Source organism: Homo sapiens, chromosome 3 (assembly GCF_000001405.40).
Source record: "Homo sapiens chromosome 3, GRCh38.p14 Primary Assembly".
In the NCBI taxonomy this organism is placed as follows: Eukaryota; Metazoa; Chordata; class Mammalia; order Primates; family Hominidae; genus Homo; species Homo sapiens.
Genome location: NC_000003.12, coordinates 64,671,478 through 64,688,826, shown reverse-complemented (window position 1 = coordinate 64,688,826; position 17,349 = coordinate 64,671,478). Strand labels below are relative to the sequence as shown.

The following is a 17,349-nucleotide window of genomic DNA, read 5'->3' as shown; positions in this document are numbered from 1 at the left end:
CAGAGGTTGGTGGAAAGCACAGCTTAAATATTTTGCGAAATTTTCAAGAGACCACGTATTAGAAACACACTCCGACCTGCAGGATTAAGAACCCCATTTCTAAAACTCTTGACTTGGGGTGATTAAATCGAGAGCGGAGCTCAGGTGCCAAATCTCTTCCCGAATGAAAAAGTGTAGGAAGGGAAGGCGCTCCGGCGCTGGGCCACTTTCACTTGTAAGAAACCAAAAGATGGGGACTGGTGGCAAGAGATGGGGACGGAAGAGAAAGGAAAGGAAAAGGAGAAATGTGAGAAACAGACAGGGACACGGTGGGGCGGGGAGAAGACAGACATCACAGGGGAAAATGGGGAGAAGGGACAGAGTCCGAGAGGCACAGCAGCAGAGAGACAAGGGGGAGGAGGAAAAAGAGACTCGGAAGGGAGGAGAGAGAGGAGAGGAGAGGAAAAAGACGAGAGGGGAAGTGGCTGCACGCGCGCCAGGAAAGGGAGAGAACTTTCCCTGCTTTCCCTCCCCGGGGCAGGGAATCTCAGAAAACCCCACTTCAGCGAGGTGGCGGGGACCAGGAACAGCTGCCCCGGCGCTGGTGACGCCTCTGGCCTCCGCCTCTTGCAGCCGGCAGGGCCTCCGGCTGCGAGTCCCGCACGGGCCGGCCGAGGAGGGGACATGGTCTGGAAGGAGGCGGTCCCCGTTCGTCTCGCTTTCTCCTCCCCTCTCCTCCTCTTAGAGGCGTGCACCGGGGGCATTTGAGAGGCTGTGGACCCGCGGCCCCCCCGCCTCCGCCCCCCCAGCCCCCCATTCAAGAAGCCGCTCAGCTATCCCGGCCAGCACAGGGCGCCCGGCGCGCCTCGGAGCGCAAGTTCCTCGCCTTCTCCTGCCCGCTCGCTGGGCATTATGCGGCCAAGCAGCCGAGCCCCAGTCCTCCTCCTCCTCCTGCTCCTCCGGCTCCTCCTGCGGCCCGAGCGGCTCAGCTCTCGGCAGGCGGCGGCGTTGCTCAGCCGAGCGCAGACGGGACCCTCGCAGCGAGACCTCAGCGACTCCTAAAGTCAAAAGTTGGCGGCGGGCGCCGGGCTCCGCGCGCTCTCCACGGCCGCTGCCTCGCGTCGCCGCCGCAGCCAAGGAGGGCAGGAGGGAGGGGGGTGGGGGCAGCGGAGGGAGGGGTGGGAAGCACCATGCAGTTTGTATCCTGGGCCACACTGCTAACGCTCCTGGTGCGGGACCTGGCCGAGATGGGGAGCCCAGACGCCGCGGCGGCCGTGCGCAAGGACAGGCTGCACCCGAGGCAAGGTAACCAGGCTCCGGCCCCCGGGACCCCGCCGGCCCCGACGCCGCCTCCCGGTCCTCGCTCCTGGGCAGGGGCACCCCGCAGCGGAGGCTTCTCTCCTTTTCCTAGAAAGAATTATCTCCCGCTTTGCAGCCTCTCCCTTCTTTGGGTCATCCCCAACCAATTGCTAGGGAGGGACACTATGGAAACGAATTTAGGCAACCCCCCCCTACCTTGCTGTTGCCAGATATATCCCCATCCCCACTCCCACGCCGCAAACTAAAGTAACTTAGTAATTGGGGGCACCAGATAGCGTCATGTTTTATTTTATTCAGGTTATTTATCAATATCTGAAATCATATATATTTTGACTTGTTAATTGTCTGGCTCGGAATAGTGTATCCTCAGCACCTAGCACAGGTCCTGTTACTGGCACATAGTAGGTGCTCAGCAAATATTTGTCCACTGATTAAGGGTGAAGGGATTGACTCGAATGGGCTGGAAAATAAGGTCAGAACAAAGTCCCCACCTTCGTTTTAAATTAAAGCTTAAGGAAAAATGAATTATTGGTTCATATACCTCTGCTTCTCTCCGCAGTGAAATTATTAGAGACCCTGAGCGAATACGAAATCGTGTCTCCCATCCGAGTGAACGCTCTCGGAGAACCCTTTCCCACGAACGTCCACTTCAAAAGAACGCGACGGAGCATTAACTCTGCCACTGACCCCTGGCCTGCCTTCGCCTCCTCCTCTTCCTCCTCTACCTCCTCCCAGGCGCATTACCGCCTCTCTGCCTTCGGCCAGCAGTTTCTATTTAATCTCACCGCCAATGCCGGATTTATCGCTCCACTGTTCACTGTCACCCTCCTCGGGACGCCCGGGGTGAATCAGACCAAGTTTTATTCCGAAGAGGAAGCGGAACTCAAGCACTGTTTCTACAAAGGCTATGTCAATACCAACTCCGAGCACACGGCCGTCATCAGCCTCTGCTCAGGAATGGTAAGTGGGCGCGCGCCACCTCCTCTCCCCTTCCGCCTCCTCGCCCGCTTCTAGAAGACTTAATTGTCCTCTAAGCCTAGAGACCCTCACTGTGGCGAGGCTCCGCTCCTCTCCGGCGTTAAATATCAGCTAGAAACTCGTATGGTTTGGGTAGCTAGCTCTGTGCGTGCGAGTACACTGGCGTGGAGCGCACACACCCGCCCCCAGGGGCTTCTGGATGTTTCAGAGCTTTCTGGAGTTTGGACTCGGTTCAGCGGCGCGTTGCCCAACGCTGCGAGGCGGCCTGGAAGTCAGTTTCCAAACTCGGAGAAAGTTACTGGAGTTGCGGTTCCCTGCAGCAAACTTGGCCACCCGGGAGCGGAGCCGCTGAGCGCAGGGCGGACCAGACTCCTTATTGGTGCGCCTTGCATCGGGGATGTGGGGCTGAGGATCCCCTGCCCAAGGCACTGGGAGTTCCTTCAGTGTGTGTTGTGGAGGGCGGTGCGTAATCTAGAGTCCCCGCTTTCTCTCAGGGCCTTTATTCACGCGCCAGGAACCCTGAGGCTGAACTGGATTGACAGGGAGCAGGTCCCGTCCCAGGAACGGAAGGGTGGGCCGAGGGCTCTGGGGGCGGGGGAGAAGGCGGAGCCTACCCCGGACGCTTTGAATTGGGGTGGAACCGAGAGTGGGGGTGCAGCGCAGTCCAACTCTGCACCCTACTGGCGGGGTGGCCGGGAGAAACGGGATAGTGGGAGACAGCCTGGAGAGGCTGTCCGGACGTGATTTCGGTTCCTCTGGGGTTTCTACTACTCACGGGTTCCAGGGAGTGGAGAGAGGGAGCCTGCGGCGCACGTTTCCCTAGGGACTGAGGCAGGGCGGGGAGGCCGCCTTCTTGCGCTGCCAAATAGCATTTAGCAGGGAATCCACGTTGGTTCCCCGACTCTCTGTCGACCCCCGCATGTGCCCTCCAGTGGATCTTACAAGGCATCTGCCCCCCACTTCTCCACGACATTTGAGGAGTCGCTGCGGTACGGTTCTGGCCCGAGCAAGGGTGGTCCTTGACTTTCCCAAGCGACGTGCGTTTCTGCCACGCGCGTGTGACGCAGAAACTTTCCCGGGTCAGTCTCTCCCAGCGCACGGCGCTGTAAGCGCAATGGGGTCGTAGGCACTGTGCCCGGTGATGCCTTTATTCTTCCCGAAGCACCCACAGCCCCTCCCTCCCTTTTCTAAGCGGGGCCTTGGATACTCACCCCCAGACACTGGGCTGCTCCATCAGTGCGCTGTCGTTCGTGGGTCTTAAAGTTCCCAAGCACATCCTTCCTTCTCTGCCTTTCAATGGAAGGATCGGGTGGAGAGCGTGGCAAGCCTGAAGACTGGGAGGGGGTAGTTCTAGCCTGCTGGGATTCAAGGAAAGGGATAAACCCCTTTAGCCCCCAGCAAAGCGCCCGGAGCCGTGGCTCCCGAAATGCGCTGTCGAGATTGTTTGGGGGTGGGCGGAGACGGCAGCTTGGCGAAGTGGGAGGGGGTGCTGCAGTGAGTCATCGCTGCCCCAGGACCTAGGGCAAGAGCTCTGGAATCCTTCTGGTCCTTGAAAGGTTAAGGCTCGGGTAGGCAGAAGCCAGCCGTCTGAGCCCAGAGCCTGGAGTGCCCCTAGATTCCAAGATAGTAACCCCCAATTCCAGGACCGTAGGGATAGGACTGCGTGTGTACGTCAAGTTTGTAAACAGCCTTTACTCCTCCTCTCTCCCCGCCTCCACACCCGCTGAAGCCTAGTGGCCCCAGCAGTTGTATAAATATTTTACTGCGCAGGACCTTCATTTTCATTGGCAGTTTTAGGTGGTAGTGCGCACGTGGTTTCTTTGGGAACTGAGGACTAGGGCTTCAGAAACGACTACCTGGACTGTGATAACCTCATTTATATTGCGTTTAATTCGCAGTCTGCCTCTTTTGGGGAAAAGGGCCCTCATACATCTTAAAGATATGCGTTCTGGTTCTTCGTATCTTCAGCCATTAATCTAGCTCCAAAACCCCTGCCCCTTTGTCTTCCTTCTGGAAGTTATCTCCTCCCAAGACTTCCCCTTACCACTTCTGCAGCAGTGGCATCAAGATGTTGCTAGTTCTCCGCCTAGGAGTCTTCCAGGAAATCTTGAAGAGTCTACCAGAGTCTACCAGATTTTGGAGTGGGCTGTGCCATCCTGCCACCCCTAGTCAGTTGTCAGTTTTTCTGAATTTCATCTGAGATGGGTCGCCCGCCTCTCCTGAACATCTCTACCCTAAATCTATCCCGCTTCACTTTTCTCCCCCTCTCTCCTTAGGACTGATGTCTAAGAAATATTACACTGGGCTTCTTCTCCAGTCTTTCTCCTCGATCGCTAACTCCATTTGGCATTTAAGACTATTTACAGTGCACTCACTCACATCCACATGTCCAGTCTCAGCTCCCAATCTTTCCTCCACAAATCCTGCATTTCAGGCCATGGGTTTTACACTGCTTTCTCTGCACCCCACCCTCAATCCTAGTCTTCATTGCCTTTGTGCCTTGGAATTTACTTGGTCTTCTCACTCATCTTCACATGCTCAAATCCTACCCTTCTTTGGAGGTGTATATAATTTATATCTCTTCTTTCCCAGAAGACCTTTTCATAGTTCCCCATGTTGATGTCATCTCTCCCCCTCCCCCTTCATAGACACTTCTGAGAGTCTCTCTTATGATGCTTAGTACGTTCTCCCTTGTATCAAGGTTCTTGGTACACATGTTCTATCCTTTTCTCCTTGGCAACAGGGTCAGCATCAACTCATTTTTCTCCTATATTGGAGCTTTGTATGTTGTATATACTTAGCATATATGTTTGAATAAATAGTCACCTTAACCAAGAAAAGATAACTCTTAGGCCCACCTTTGTGAATCAACAGTACAATTAATTTTGGCATCACATTGATATGATTTATTGAGCTCTTACTATTAATGTCTGCCTGGCACTACTGTAAGTAGTTTACATATGTATTATCTCATCCAAATCCTCCAAGAACCCAATCCTCAGAACAACACATTTTACTGACAAAAAAAAATCTGAGACTTTGAGAGCTGGAGACTTGCTCAAGATCTCACAGCTCGTAAGTGGCAGCGCTGGGATTTCAACCGGGTCTTTCTGATCCATGTGCTTAACCATAGACCAGAGACTGATCCTGTTCTCCTGAAGAGAACCTCAGGGTTCTTTTATAAAAAGGCACGAGACTAAAGTCAGGTTAGACTCAATGCTGTGCAGCTGCTTCTGTACCATTGAAGGGGAATTTGGGCCCAATCACTTCCTCCTTCTGTGTCTTGGTTTCCCCATTTACCAATCAAAGGTGGCAAATCGTCACCAGCTGAGCTCCCTGGCTCTTTCCCAGGACTCATGTCTCTGATAGGCTTCACATGTTGTGATATGCTCTCTGATTTGTGCTCAGAGAACACCAGAGTTGTGTATTGAACACAGGCAGAGAATAAATTTATTAAATCACTGCTTCTCTGGCAACTAGCTACTCTGTCTCTTAGTCTGACCACACCTGAGCTGCCCTTTTCTTAAACCAGGGGCTCATGAATCATGTGGAGAGCTTTTAAAACAAAAAACAAAAACATTCTAGATCCATCCCTAGAAATTCTGAATCTGTGAGTAGGGGGTAATGCCCTAAATCTAATTTAAAAACAAAAACAAAAAACCTTCCCAGGCAATTTTGAAGCTAGCTGTTTTGGGGAGCCAACGTCTTAGCCTAGTGCTGCTCATACTTTATCATGCGTAAGAATACCCTGGGAGCTCATTAACATTTCAATTCTTGGGCCCTACCCCTAGAGATTTTGATTCAATAGATCAGATTTGGGGTGGAGCACAATTATTTGAATTTCTAATAAGCTCCTGGATGATGCTGATGCGGATGCAGCTGCTGATGTTCAGGGAGTCATTTCTCCTGTGTCAATGGAAGGATGCAAGGCATCAGATTTTTTTTCCAGCACGGGAAATGAGAAAGCGGAGGAGAAGAGTGGAGCTTGATTTCTCCTCTTAAACACCACTCAGCAACTTGGCATGGGGAATTTTTCAGTGTTCTTGTAATTTTTAGTTTGGGTGGTTCAATCTTGAGGTATCATTTATCATTTGTAAAAACTTGGGTATGTGGGGTGAAAAGGAGCAAAAATGACTTGCAAGGTGCTTAGAATGATTAGTAAGAGCAAATTTTATCCTAATGGTTAGAGGCTAACACTGGCAACACCAAAAACCGTTCACGAGTTCTAAGCCTTTGCAAGGTGTCAGGCATTTTGCTAAGCACTTAATTATCATTATCTTATTTAATCTGCACAGTAACTCTTTACATTAAGTATCTTTATCCCCAGCTGACGAACAAGGAAGCTTAAACAGAGTGGTTAAGGAACTTGCCCAAGGTGAATGGGTAGGTGCTGGTGCTGAAATTGGAACCTAGGGCAATCTGGCTTCAAAGCCTTGCAGGACATCACTCCCCTATTTTGCAAAGGAAAGGGTTGGTGAGAGGATCATGTGCCAGCGTTACAGGTGGTACCACCTTGAATGCATTGTGGCCAACATATGCTTCTTGAATTTGAATCAATGGGAAGACTTCAATAGGCCAGCTTTTCCTGCTGGAGTGCATACTTGTCCCTAAGTTTCTAGGCTCTCTAAGTTTCCAAGACTCTTTCGACAGCCTGCAGGAATGATTGGAACTTGAGCTCTAAGGAAGTATTTCTTAGAGACAGATTTGGATAGCAGGTACAATCAACTGAAGTCAAATCAAGAATAAGTTACTGATATGACACTTTGGGAGGCTGAGCCAGGCAACATATTGAGCCTGGGCAACATATTGAGACCCCCATCTCTACAAAAAGTAAAAAACTTAGCTGGGCATGATGGCATGCACCTATAATCCCAGCTACTCAGGAGGCTGAGGTGGGGGGTTTGCTTGAGCCCAGGAGTTCAAGGCTGGGTGAGAGAGCAAGACCCTATCTCTAAAATAATAAGAATAGTAAATAATAAATAATTTTTAGAAAATATACTGATATGACAGAGAGTGGAAATAAACCACTTCTCCGCATATGTTGCAGCATTTTCAGTTGAAACAACCCTCCTGAAAAAGAGATTGGGTAAAATGACACCATCTCTACTTGAAAATGTTCTTTTGGTTTTTTTCCTCCCAATGACTGAGTTACGTTAAATCAACCTCCCATCTCTCTTCATTTGCAGCTGGGCACATTCCGGTCTCATGATGGGGATTATTTTATTGAACCACTACAGTCTATGGATGAACAAGAAGATGAAGAGGAACAAAACAAACCCCACATCATTTATAGGCGCAGCGCCCCCCAGAGAGAGCCCTCAACAGGAAGGCATGCATGTGACACCTCAGGTATTTGCTTCTTGCTTAAGCGGAGAGCCCAGCTCTTTGAGATGGGTAAATTGCTATACTACAGAGATGTAGCTCTCTTTCAGTCTACAAAGTGCAACCATATGCATTATTGTTTATTCAGTCCTCAAATGATGTAGGGATACATACCCCACTGTACAGATGTGGAGACTAAGGAGAGGTTTAGTACCTTGTCTAAGGTGCACAGCTAAGAAGTTATAAAGTCAGGATTTGAACTCAAAGCAGTGACTCCATGCCCTCTATGGGAAGAGCCACCTTTTCTGTTGAAGTTGCTGATTTTTAGGCTTAACCTTGAGTAATATTCAGGTCATGATAGTAGCACCCTCAGTCACCAAATGCATGTATTTTTTTTTGGCATCTTCTGTTCATTTGGGTGTTTTTTGTTTGTTTCACCATGTAGGGTTACAGAAATGTCTTATAAATGGAAGCCACGAAAACATATATGTGTTTGTTGAATGTTTCCTAGAAACTTCAGGTTTGCTCATGTTCTGTGACTTAAGGAACTGTAGCAAGGTACCTGTACGTTATGCTGTGAGGTACCAATCAACCAGTCAAATCCTATGTGCCCACTGCTAGTCTCCTTCCATCCTGGCCAGATTCTTTGAGGTTTTGCGCTGACATGTTTGGCCATTGTCAAGGATATGTCATTCTGGGCACCCTGGAAAGCTTCTGTCTGTGTTTCTTCATCTGCAGTCTTGTAGCAACACTTCACTGCCTCAGAAGCCTGGTTACTTTCTGCCTGATGATAGGTTATCCTATGAAATAATTCCTCAATTTGGTCCTGCGTCTTAGGATGTTCGTGAAAATACTTAAAAAAAAATTCTTGGACTTCCCTGTCTCTAAAACTTTATCTTTCTTTCTATTCTTTATTTTTAAAATTGCTTCTCCAAATTAAATAGCATCTCAGGGTCTTTCTGGTATCTCCAAACAAGGCCTAAATTCAAGACCACCAGGGAGTTTCCTCAAATGCTCCCCAGAGGATCACTTACTTCATCTTATACCTGTACCAGGTTGTTCACTGGGATAGCATGTGGTGTCCTATTCTCTCCTGGAATTATTATTTCTAAAGTGAATCCTTTAATAAAAGATAACATTGACTATTTATAACCTACAAGTAGCCAAATTTAAGGGTGTAACATTGTAGGTCTTTTGGCTTTATCCCATCCAGTTCTGTGTTCTTACCACCATAACAAGATGGAATATAACTAAAGCATTCTGTCAGACTCTAAAGAGCCAAGGGATATGAGGAGTAGAGGGGCAAGTATACTTAGATACATCAAAAACAATAGTTTCAGCAGCAGGTATACAGTCAAGACTGCCAGCCACCAGCAAGTTTAATGGACAGGACATTTATCACAGTTTTGACCGTGCTAGTAAGACCATTGACCTAAACTTCTTGACTTCCCAAATCTGTATTAGCAAGTACACATTTTAGACATGTGTATAAATGTAAACATAACATGAAATGTATACATAACATACAGAAATGAAATCTGCAGTTCCCCTCCTTCCATCTTATTAGTATATATTCAGAAGACACTGAAATATTTTTTTCACTGATGAATTTATTGACCAATGACACTTCATGATATTCTTCTCCCCTAAAGCGGCTACAGGTCAACATTTTAAAAAATGACTATTTATTATTGTTTTATTCTGTACATGCATTATGCAAAGCACTGTACATGTACCACCTTGCTTAATCCTTATCACAAACCTATGAGGTAGTTACCATTCCTAACTCTGTTGTATAATACCTGGAAAAGGAGCTGAGATTTACAGAGATGAAGTAGTTTGCCCAAGATCTCACAGCTAGTCCACAATGATGACCCATGTTTCTCTGTCTTATTCCGTGACCCATTTTCTCTGTGCAGGAGTCTGTGTGGAAAAGAGAGAGGGGGCAGAAAGAGAAAGTCTTAATTAGTACTGTGATTCAAAAAAATCTTCAAGGTTCATTTTAAAATATTAATTATGCAAGTTAATGGACATTTGATTTCCTGGGCTGGAGGAAATGTCATTGTCAAATCCTGTTAAAAACACAAAGAAGAGTGAATCTTAAAAATGTCAGGCTCGAAGACAATGAAGATGCGTTAGTTAAAAAAAATAAAATAAAAGTCTATTTTGGTTCCAGTCGTTATTAAGGTTGGGGCCTTTAATTACCACCTTCCAAATCACAATGCCAGTACTTTTAGTTTTCCTCCTAGTGTTTGCTTGCTCCTGACCAATATGGCATGCCGTTCCTTCATCCCTTGTAATGAACCAGGAGCCCAGCAGTTTTGATCAGCTCTTCCAAAGGTTGCTGCTGGGCTGTGCCACTCTGGTCTCTCTCTTCCAGCTACTTCTGCACCCCTTCTTTGAATTCAGATGCAGCTTCTCAGAACAGTTTAGAATATGGCACGATTCACCAGCAGGTATCAGAGGAATGGACCAACAGGTCAAGGACACCTCTGGAACCAGGTAGCCTTTGCACAGGGAGTGAAAGTAGGTTGAGGTGGGAGTAGTCCCTCTTGCCAGAGAGAAAAGGGGCTGCCTAGCAATAGCAATCCACTCAGATTCAGTGGTTCATCTTCCCTCCCAACCCCCAATCAAGAGCAGTGGTTGGTAACCAAAAGTGACCTTTAGAAGTACTCTGGGAGCCTCATACAAATGCAGATTCTTTAAAACAAAACAAAACAAAACTAACCCCTCTCCCAGGCAAATGTGATGAAGCAAGAATCAGTGGTTTTAATAGTGCTCCAAGTGATTCAGATGTTTAGCTAAATTTGAGAGTCACTGCTAAAGTTGGGTTTAAGGCAGTAGTCATTATCTGTCACTTGCTGTTGGCATTGCTGTGGACTTGACTTTCTACATCAGTGCTTTCCATGTCTCCTCTTCTCATAGGATGATAGGATACTGGAACTGGAGGAGTCCTTAGCAGTCTTGTCTAGGCCAACAATCTAATTCTGTGCAGATAAGGAAACTGAAGTTGCAGGATGTTAAGATGCTTCCTCCCAGGAGTGATATCCTATATATTCAACACCAACCCATCCGAACCTTCCCTAGCCTTGGGAGAGAGGTCTCCTGCTGAGCTCAGTGTAACCCTTTAGTTACCAGATCATGGGAGTAGGAGCAGGGCAAGACACAATGACTGTGACACTTTCACACGCAGATGGAATATGTCTTGGTCATTTCTGAATCTTGAGGTATGCCTAATTTTCAAAAAAGGATTCTGAGATAACTTATGTTAAAAAGGGAAGCATAGAAGGAGTCTACTGCAATGAAAACTTTATGGGTTTAGAAAGGAGTCTACAGTTCCGTTTCTTCATTCATGCGTGCATTTATTCAGTTAGCCATCAAGTCTTTATTGAGCAACTTCTCTGTGCCAGGAGGAGAAAACCAGGAACTGTCCATATTCCTGGTTAGTTGTATGACTTCAAGCACACTTTAGAATATAAAGTGAGGATAACATGTACCTTTCAAGATTGAAGTTAGGGCTAAATGAGTATGAAATAATGAAAGCTCCCAGGACAGTGTTTATTTAGCATGTGGTAGACAATCACAGAATGGTAGGTGTTTTTTAAGGTTCATGAAAATAGAAAACAAAACACCACAATGAGGAAAGGAAAACTCCAAATACTAAAATTCAAAGGTAATAGCCCAGTGCTTCTGGGTAATCATGAAGGGTTTAGGGGACTTGCCCAAGGTCACCCTGCCAGCTAGTAGCAAGGCTGAGGGTGCTTTCTGTCCCCTTGTTTCCTCTGTACCCAATGCAACATTTAAATATTTTCTTTCTTGCAAGTTTCTCTTGGCCCAGTGGCTGCCCTTCCTGATTGTCTCTGTTTTGTCATCACTGGTTATGTCTATGTGTATACATTTGGGCCATTTGAGTGTCTCTGCATTTATTTGTCTTTTCATCCTATTTGTGAGTTCTTTAGGGTTCACGATGGGAAGTGGGGTGTCTTCTCTCCCTATGGCATGCCCTTGTGACTGCAGTGTCCTTTACATACTGGGTCCTCAGTAAAATTCACTGTGCTCACTGCCTGCTAGCCCCACACACCAGGGGCACAAGCAAAAGGCCTATGGGAGCCCTTTGGAGAGTGGCTTGCTTTTATAAGCCACTTCCTGCGGATCCTTCCCATTGCTTGTTTCCAGATGAGATCCCAAGTTCTGTTTCACGGACACTCTCTATTTGACCCTGAATTTTGCACAAGAGGATTTAGTGGTTCTTATCAGTGCTTCCTGGTAGGTGGGTGAGAGAAAGGCAGGGAAGAAGGCTGTTTTGTTTGCCTGGGCCTGGAAGGCAAGTGTTTTTCTCTAACTCAAACTTCTCCCTCACCTTCCCATCTCAGCAAGGCCAGGTAATTTTTGTTTCTTAAGGCATTTAAGAACTGTCTACTCTGTGACCCATCAATGCTGTGCCTAAGGAAATAATCAGACAATTGTGTAAAGGTGTTTATGAACGAGATCCAGTACAGTGTTGTTTATTATAGCAAAAGCCTGGAAACAGCCTAAGTGCCCTTTGGGAGGAAGATAGATCAATACATTATGGGGCAGGCATATAATGGATTCCTATGCAGCTGTTAAAAATGATGGCCTGAATTTATGTTACCAAACACAGAATATATATTCAGTGAACAAGCAGGTGATAAACTAATATGTTTGGTAGGATATTATTTTTTTTTAATGATAAACTCTATTTGGGTACATGTGTGTAAACAGAATATCTGAAGTAAAGGCATGAAAATATTAACAGTGATTATTTATGGTTACTAGGAACATAGGCAGTCTTTACTTTTGAACTTTTATATTCTTCTATTTTGTGACTCCTTTGCATGTTTCTTTGATAGTTTCATAATCAGAAAATACAGATAAAATGAAACAGGGATAGTGGCATGGATTTATTTTGCTAGACCTATTGAACTTGTCACTGGAGACCAATAGCCAAGCCACATTTTGGTCTCTTAGGATCTTAGGACCTTAGAAGTGGAGATTATCGGTCCTTTATTTTCTTGGAATGAGGCAGTCTCAATAACCAGACAGATAAAAATCCTGCCTTGTGTCTACTTCTTTGGGACATCTGTGGCTGGTTAAAGTTGAATCTCTCATTCAACCCAGCTAAATTGCCTTGTGCCTGTTGGACTGACCCTGGTATTATTAAGATTTAATCTCCATTAGGCACTGGGGACTCTGTTTATCACTCCCATTAGAAGGTACCATCACTTCCTGATTGGGATTTCCAGGCTGCAGTTATAAAGGCTGGAAAACATAAGATGATAATTAAAGCCATCATCTGTTAGGCTCTTATGTGCATATGGGATCACTATGCTACACACTTTACACACATTATCATATGTAATACATTGGTCAGCATTGTAGGGTAGGTATTATTACCCCTATTTTACAGTTGAGAAAATTAGCTCAAAGAGGTTGAGAAACTTGTCCAAAATGTCACACAGCCAGGAAGAAGAGAGTCTGAGCCTTAACCCAATCTATTTCCAATGTGCTATACTATGGGCCAAATTGCATAGAAAACACAAATGGAAACTGCTATATAGAAACTCCTTTTTTGGTTTATTTGGTTTTTTGAGACAGAATCTCACTCTGTTGCCCAGGCTGAAGTGCAGTGGCGCGATCATAGCTTACTATAGCCTTCAATTCCAGGGCTCATGGGATCCTTACACCTCAGCCTCCCAAGTAGCCAAAACTAAAGACATATGCCACCACACATGGCTAATTAAACAACAAAAACTGTAGAGACAGAATCTCCCTGGGATTACAGGACTGAGCCATCATGCCTGGCCTACAAACCCCTTTTTAACTTCATTTTTGGAGCATCTTCTTTGACTACCATCTAATTTCCATTCCCTAGATGATACTAATAAGAGTTGACATTTGCTGAGTGTGTATTATGTGGTAGCCTCTGTTCCAGGCACTTTACAACTTTACATGGATTACATATTTCAATTCTTACCGCAAACTCCATTTTGCAGATTGGAAAACTGAGACACAGAGAAGTCTGTAATGTTGACTTGCCTGAGGTTATAAAGCTCATCAACATACCATTTTCTTCAGCCCTTATGTCCTGGTCTAGTTAGGGGATATTTTTTGGCCTCGGTATTGATTTGACTGCATTCATATATGAATTATTTTTGCTGGCAGGAATTTTTAAATGCCTGTCTGGAATTTGATTTGATTTGAGGAAGGCTGCTTGGTGCCTGAAATTCCCACCAAGACTCTAATGACTCACAGAGGCCTTGTGTCTGTCTCCAGCAGGCCTCTGATGGAGTGTATGCTTGTTACACATTAACCTCTTGGATCCCATTAATAATTTAGCATAGATTAGCTGATTAGATTAGCTGCCCTTCGAGTGGTACCCAAATGGAGTGAGAGACGGAGCTGGGGAGCAGACCCCTGAGGGGGCTTTCGGTAAAACATTCTGGGGCAGCCTATGGGTTCCAGGCAGTGACGGAAGCTTTGGCTGACTTCAGAATCCTGCCTGGGCCCCAAGCAAGTCAGTGGTTGGTGGCTAATTAGTGACTTATGCTAGGAACTTGTCTGCCTGCACTTTCACCACACACTTTCTGCATTCTTAGACCCTTTCAGCCTTGTAAAGATCAAGAACAGGCAGCATTTAAGGAACTGTGTACTTGGCAATGTGGAAGCACATTATGGTTATTTCATTTACTCCTGCAACAGTTCATGGGAGGAAGATGCTCTGATTATTCTCATCCTACAAATGAGAAAGCTGAACTCAGAGAGGTGAACAAACTTGTCCACAGCTTGCAGAAAGGGAAAAAGCTGGCACTGCAACTCAAGACTGATTATGAATTTTTAAAGTTAGTTATTGCCATTTGGGATTTATGGTTTGAGCCTGATTTCCTTTCATTTTCCCCTTTTTGTTCTTCATCGGTGTTTATACATTTTTTTCTCTTTTTTATAGTCTTCAATGACTTTCTGTCTAATAAACAGTCAATATAAGCAATGACCTCTAAAATCCTTGGTAAATTATTAGAAAATCACTGTTTTAAATACATTAATTCTTTATTTCTTCAACTTGATCTACTGAATGGTACTTATAAAAATTCTGCTTTCCTTTTTTTTTAAAAAAAAACTTTAGTGTTAATAGTGCAGTACTCCAATAAAGTCATTAAGAGGTAGTAAAAAAGAAACTTCTAATACAGGAATTGTACCTTCTTTCATTTGTTCCCACTTATTCATTAAATTTTTTTAAAAATTATCATTTTGTTTTTAAAAACCATTTTATTATGAACATCTTCAAGCATACATAAAGCTAGAGACAATAATAAAATGAACCACTGTAAACACCATGAATCTTAATAATGACTAAGATTTTTCTACATTTGCTTATTTTTCTTTATGCTGAGTATATTAAAACAAACTCAAGATACCATCTCTAAATATTTCATGATAAATCTTTGAAAAGTGGGGATCTTTTCCTAAGTAACTATAATATTATTAATATTTGATACGTAATATTAAGTAATATTATAAATAATGTTTCAGCAAAATTAACAATTCCTTCATATTGCCTACACAGTACCTATATTAAAATTTTTCTCATTGTCCCCAAAATGCCTTTTTACAATCATCAGTTAGATTGTGATCTAAACAAAGTCCACACATTGCAACTCATCGTTGTCTCTTACGCAACTTTTCACTTTGTTGTCGTCATCGCTGTTGTTAAAATTGCTATTTTCGTTCTAGTTTGAGATTTGCTGCATATAGCCCCTTTTTCCCTTCCATTGCCCCTACTCTTTGCTTCATCTTTATCATCATCAGGTCAGGCTGCAGTTGCAAGGATTAGAAAAGCAAGGCCAGTCTGCAAGGCCAGAGCAGGTACCCAGAGCAAAGCCCCTGGGCCATTAAGCCACTTCTCAGAGTGATTTAATTGAAGGGAAAGGCAGTATCTTTGGGAGGTTTTTTGACTCCTTGTCTGAAGTGCCTTGATGGCTGTCATTGTGATGTTCCTATCAATAGGAAGATCCTCAATTTACAGTGCCGTCATGCATAGGGTGTGTGTGACCCATGCATTCTTGTTAGGTAATTTTGTGAACATCACAGAGTGCACTGACACAAACCTAGATGGGATAGCCTACCACACACCTAGGCTACGTGGTACATAGCCTATTGTTCCTAGGCTACGTGGTACATAGCCTATTGTTCCTAGGCTACAGACCTGTACAGTATGTGACTGTACTGAATACTGTAGGCAATTATAACGTGATGTTAAGTATCTGTGTATCTAAACATAGAAAAGGTACAGTTAAAAATTTAGTATTACGATCTTAGGAGACCACTGTCATATCTGCATTCCATCATGGACTGAAATATTAAACTACCTTTTCTATCCTTAAAGGATCTCCCTCACCTGTGTTTTGAAGCCCAGAAGGGCCAGTTTGCAATTAGGATTGTAAGGTGGCAAGTTAGGTTTGTACCTGAGATTAGAACTCATTGACATATGAAATATGCGTATTCCCCAAAACCTTTGTTGTTGTTGTTGTTTTGAGAGTCTTGCTCTGTTGCCCAGGCTGGAGTGCAGTGGCGCGATCTTGACCCACTGCAACCTCCACCTTCCAGGTTCAAGCTATTCTTGTGCCTCAGCCTCCCAAGTAGCTGAGATTACAGGTGTGCACCACCACACCCAGCTAATTTGCATATTTTTAGTAGAGACAGGGTTTTGCCATGTTAGCCAGGCTTGTCTCAAACTCCTGGCCTCAAATGGTTCATCTGCTGTGACCTCCCAAAATGCTGGGATTACAGGCATGAGCCACCACACTTGGCCCCTAAAACTTTTTAATTAAGCTTCTGGATCCAAAGACAGCCAGAAGAGCTGCCTGCTTTACACCTTCTGTGCCATCTCAGGACCTTTCCCTGTTTCTTGCTAATCATATTTTAGGGATTCCTGACACTTTGCTTCAGAAACCCATTCCCTGCTGAAGAAAAGGGGTGCTACAAGGGTGAATACTTGATAATGTGTTCACCTTCATAGGAACCATCTGAAACTGGCTAAGACGCACATCTTTCTTTAGAAGGGACTTCAGAATCAGCAGAAGACTCTGGAAGAGGGCCATCTAGCTGACAGAGGCAGGAGGATTTTGGTGTTAACCTGAGAACCCTTCAGACCTTTCACTTGAGTAGGCTGTCTTTTCAAAGTAAGACATGGCAAAGTTTCTTGAGTTTCTTCATATGAGGGGATAAGCCCACTTTGGTTAATAAAGTGCTATTTTATCATGCATTGAGGTTTAACATTTGCACCTTTGTATCTGCCAAAGATGGTTTCTTTATGATAATTGTATCATAAAAGAGTCTTTATTATAGCCATTTATGGCTGTGTTTTCTCATTTGACTTTTTACCTGTGGACCAGATATCTGCATGGATGTTCTGTGCAACTGAAAATCATTAATAAATAATCTGAATATCACAAAAAGAGCATGGGTAAATGCAAGATCTGATGTGGTATGCACATGTGACTGAGTAGTGGGCTTTGAGAAGGAGCAAAGTCAAACGTGAGGCAAATGTTGGCACAAGTCTTCCTTTTTATTGATTCCCAATTCCTATATGACATTAGAATTAGAATGAATGTTAAAAATGCAGTTGCTGTGTGGAAAAAGTTCAAGTTAATGTTATTGGCTTGAGAATTTTTCTGCTAATTATTTTTTATTTTTTGAAAAATCTTTTTATTTTCCATTCGTGTTTCCTAGTGT

General features: G+C 44.8%; 1 protein-coding gene and 1 long non-coding RNA gene across 6 annotated transcripts in view, besides 2 other annotated features; one reads left to right on the top strand and one right to left on the bottom strand.

The window, feature by feature from the left end:
• The window catches only part of ADAMTS9-AS2 (ADAMTS9 antisense RNA 2), a 326,599-nt gene extending 322,642 nt beyond the window's left edge, over positions 1–3,957 (bottom strand). Inside the window, exon 1 of the long non-coding RNA NR_038264.1 lies at positions 3,489–3,957. This is a non-coding gene — a long non-coding RNA (ADAMTS9 antisense RNA 2). The remainder of the gene's footprint in view (positions 1–3,488) is intronic.
• Positions 827–17,349, top strand: part of ADAMTS9 (ADAM metallopeptidase with thrombospondin type 1 motif 9) — a 172,347-nt gene continuing 155,824 nt past the window's right edge. For all 5 annotated transcript variants that reach the window (XR_007095711.1, XR_245151.1, XR_007095712.1 and 2 more), the window contains exons 1-3: positions 827–1,284; positions 1,859–2,259; positions 7,464–7,626. Coding sequence is in view for 2 of the 5 variants with exons in the window: in NM_001318781.2 (NP_001305710.1) it covers positions 1,170–1,284; positions 1,859–2,259; positions 7,464–7,626 (679 nt within the window). In the remaining 3 variants the exon portion in view is untranslated. The remainder of the gene's footprint in view (positions 1,285–1,858; positions 2,260–7,463; positions 7,627–17,349) is intronic.
• Positions 3,259–3,760: an enhancer, noted in NCBI's record as "H3K4me1 hESC enhancer chr3:64670743-64671244 (GRCh37/hg19 assembly coordinates)". NCBI's record gives its function as "activates a minimal SCP1, AML or CMV promoter by ChIP-STARR-seq in naive H9 embryonic stem cells {active_cell/tissue: H9 hESC(naive)}" and the evidence as "EXISTENCE:reporter gene assay evidence [ECO:0000049][PMID:30033119]".
• Positions 10,152–10,653: an enhancer, noted in NCBI's record as "NANOG hESC enhancer chr3:64663850-64664351 (GRCh37/hg19 assembly coordinates)". NCBI's record gives its function as "activates a minimal SCP1, AML or CMV promoter by ChIP-STARR-seq in naive H9 embryonic stem cells {active_cell/tissue: H9 hESC(naive)}" and the evidence as "EXISTENCE:reporter gene assay evidence [ECO:0000049][PMID:30033119]".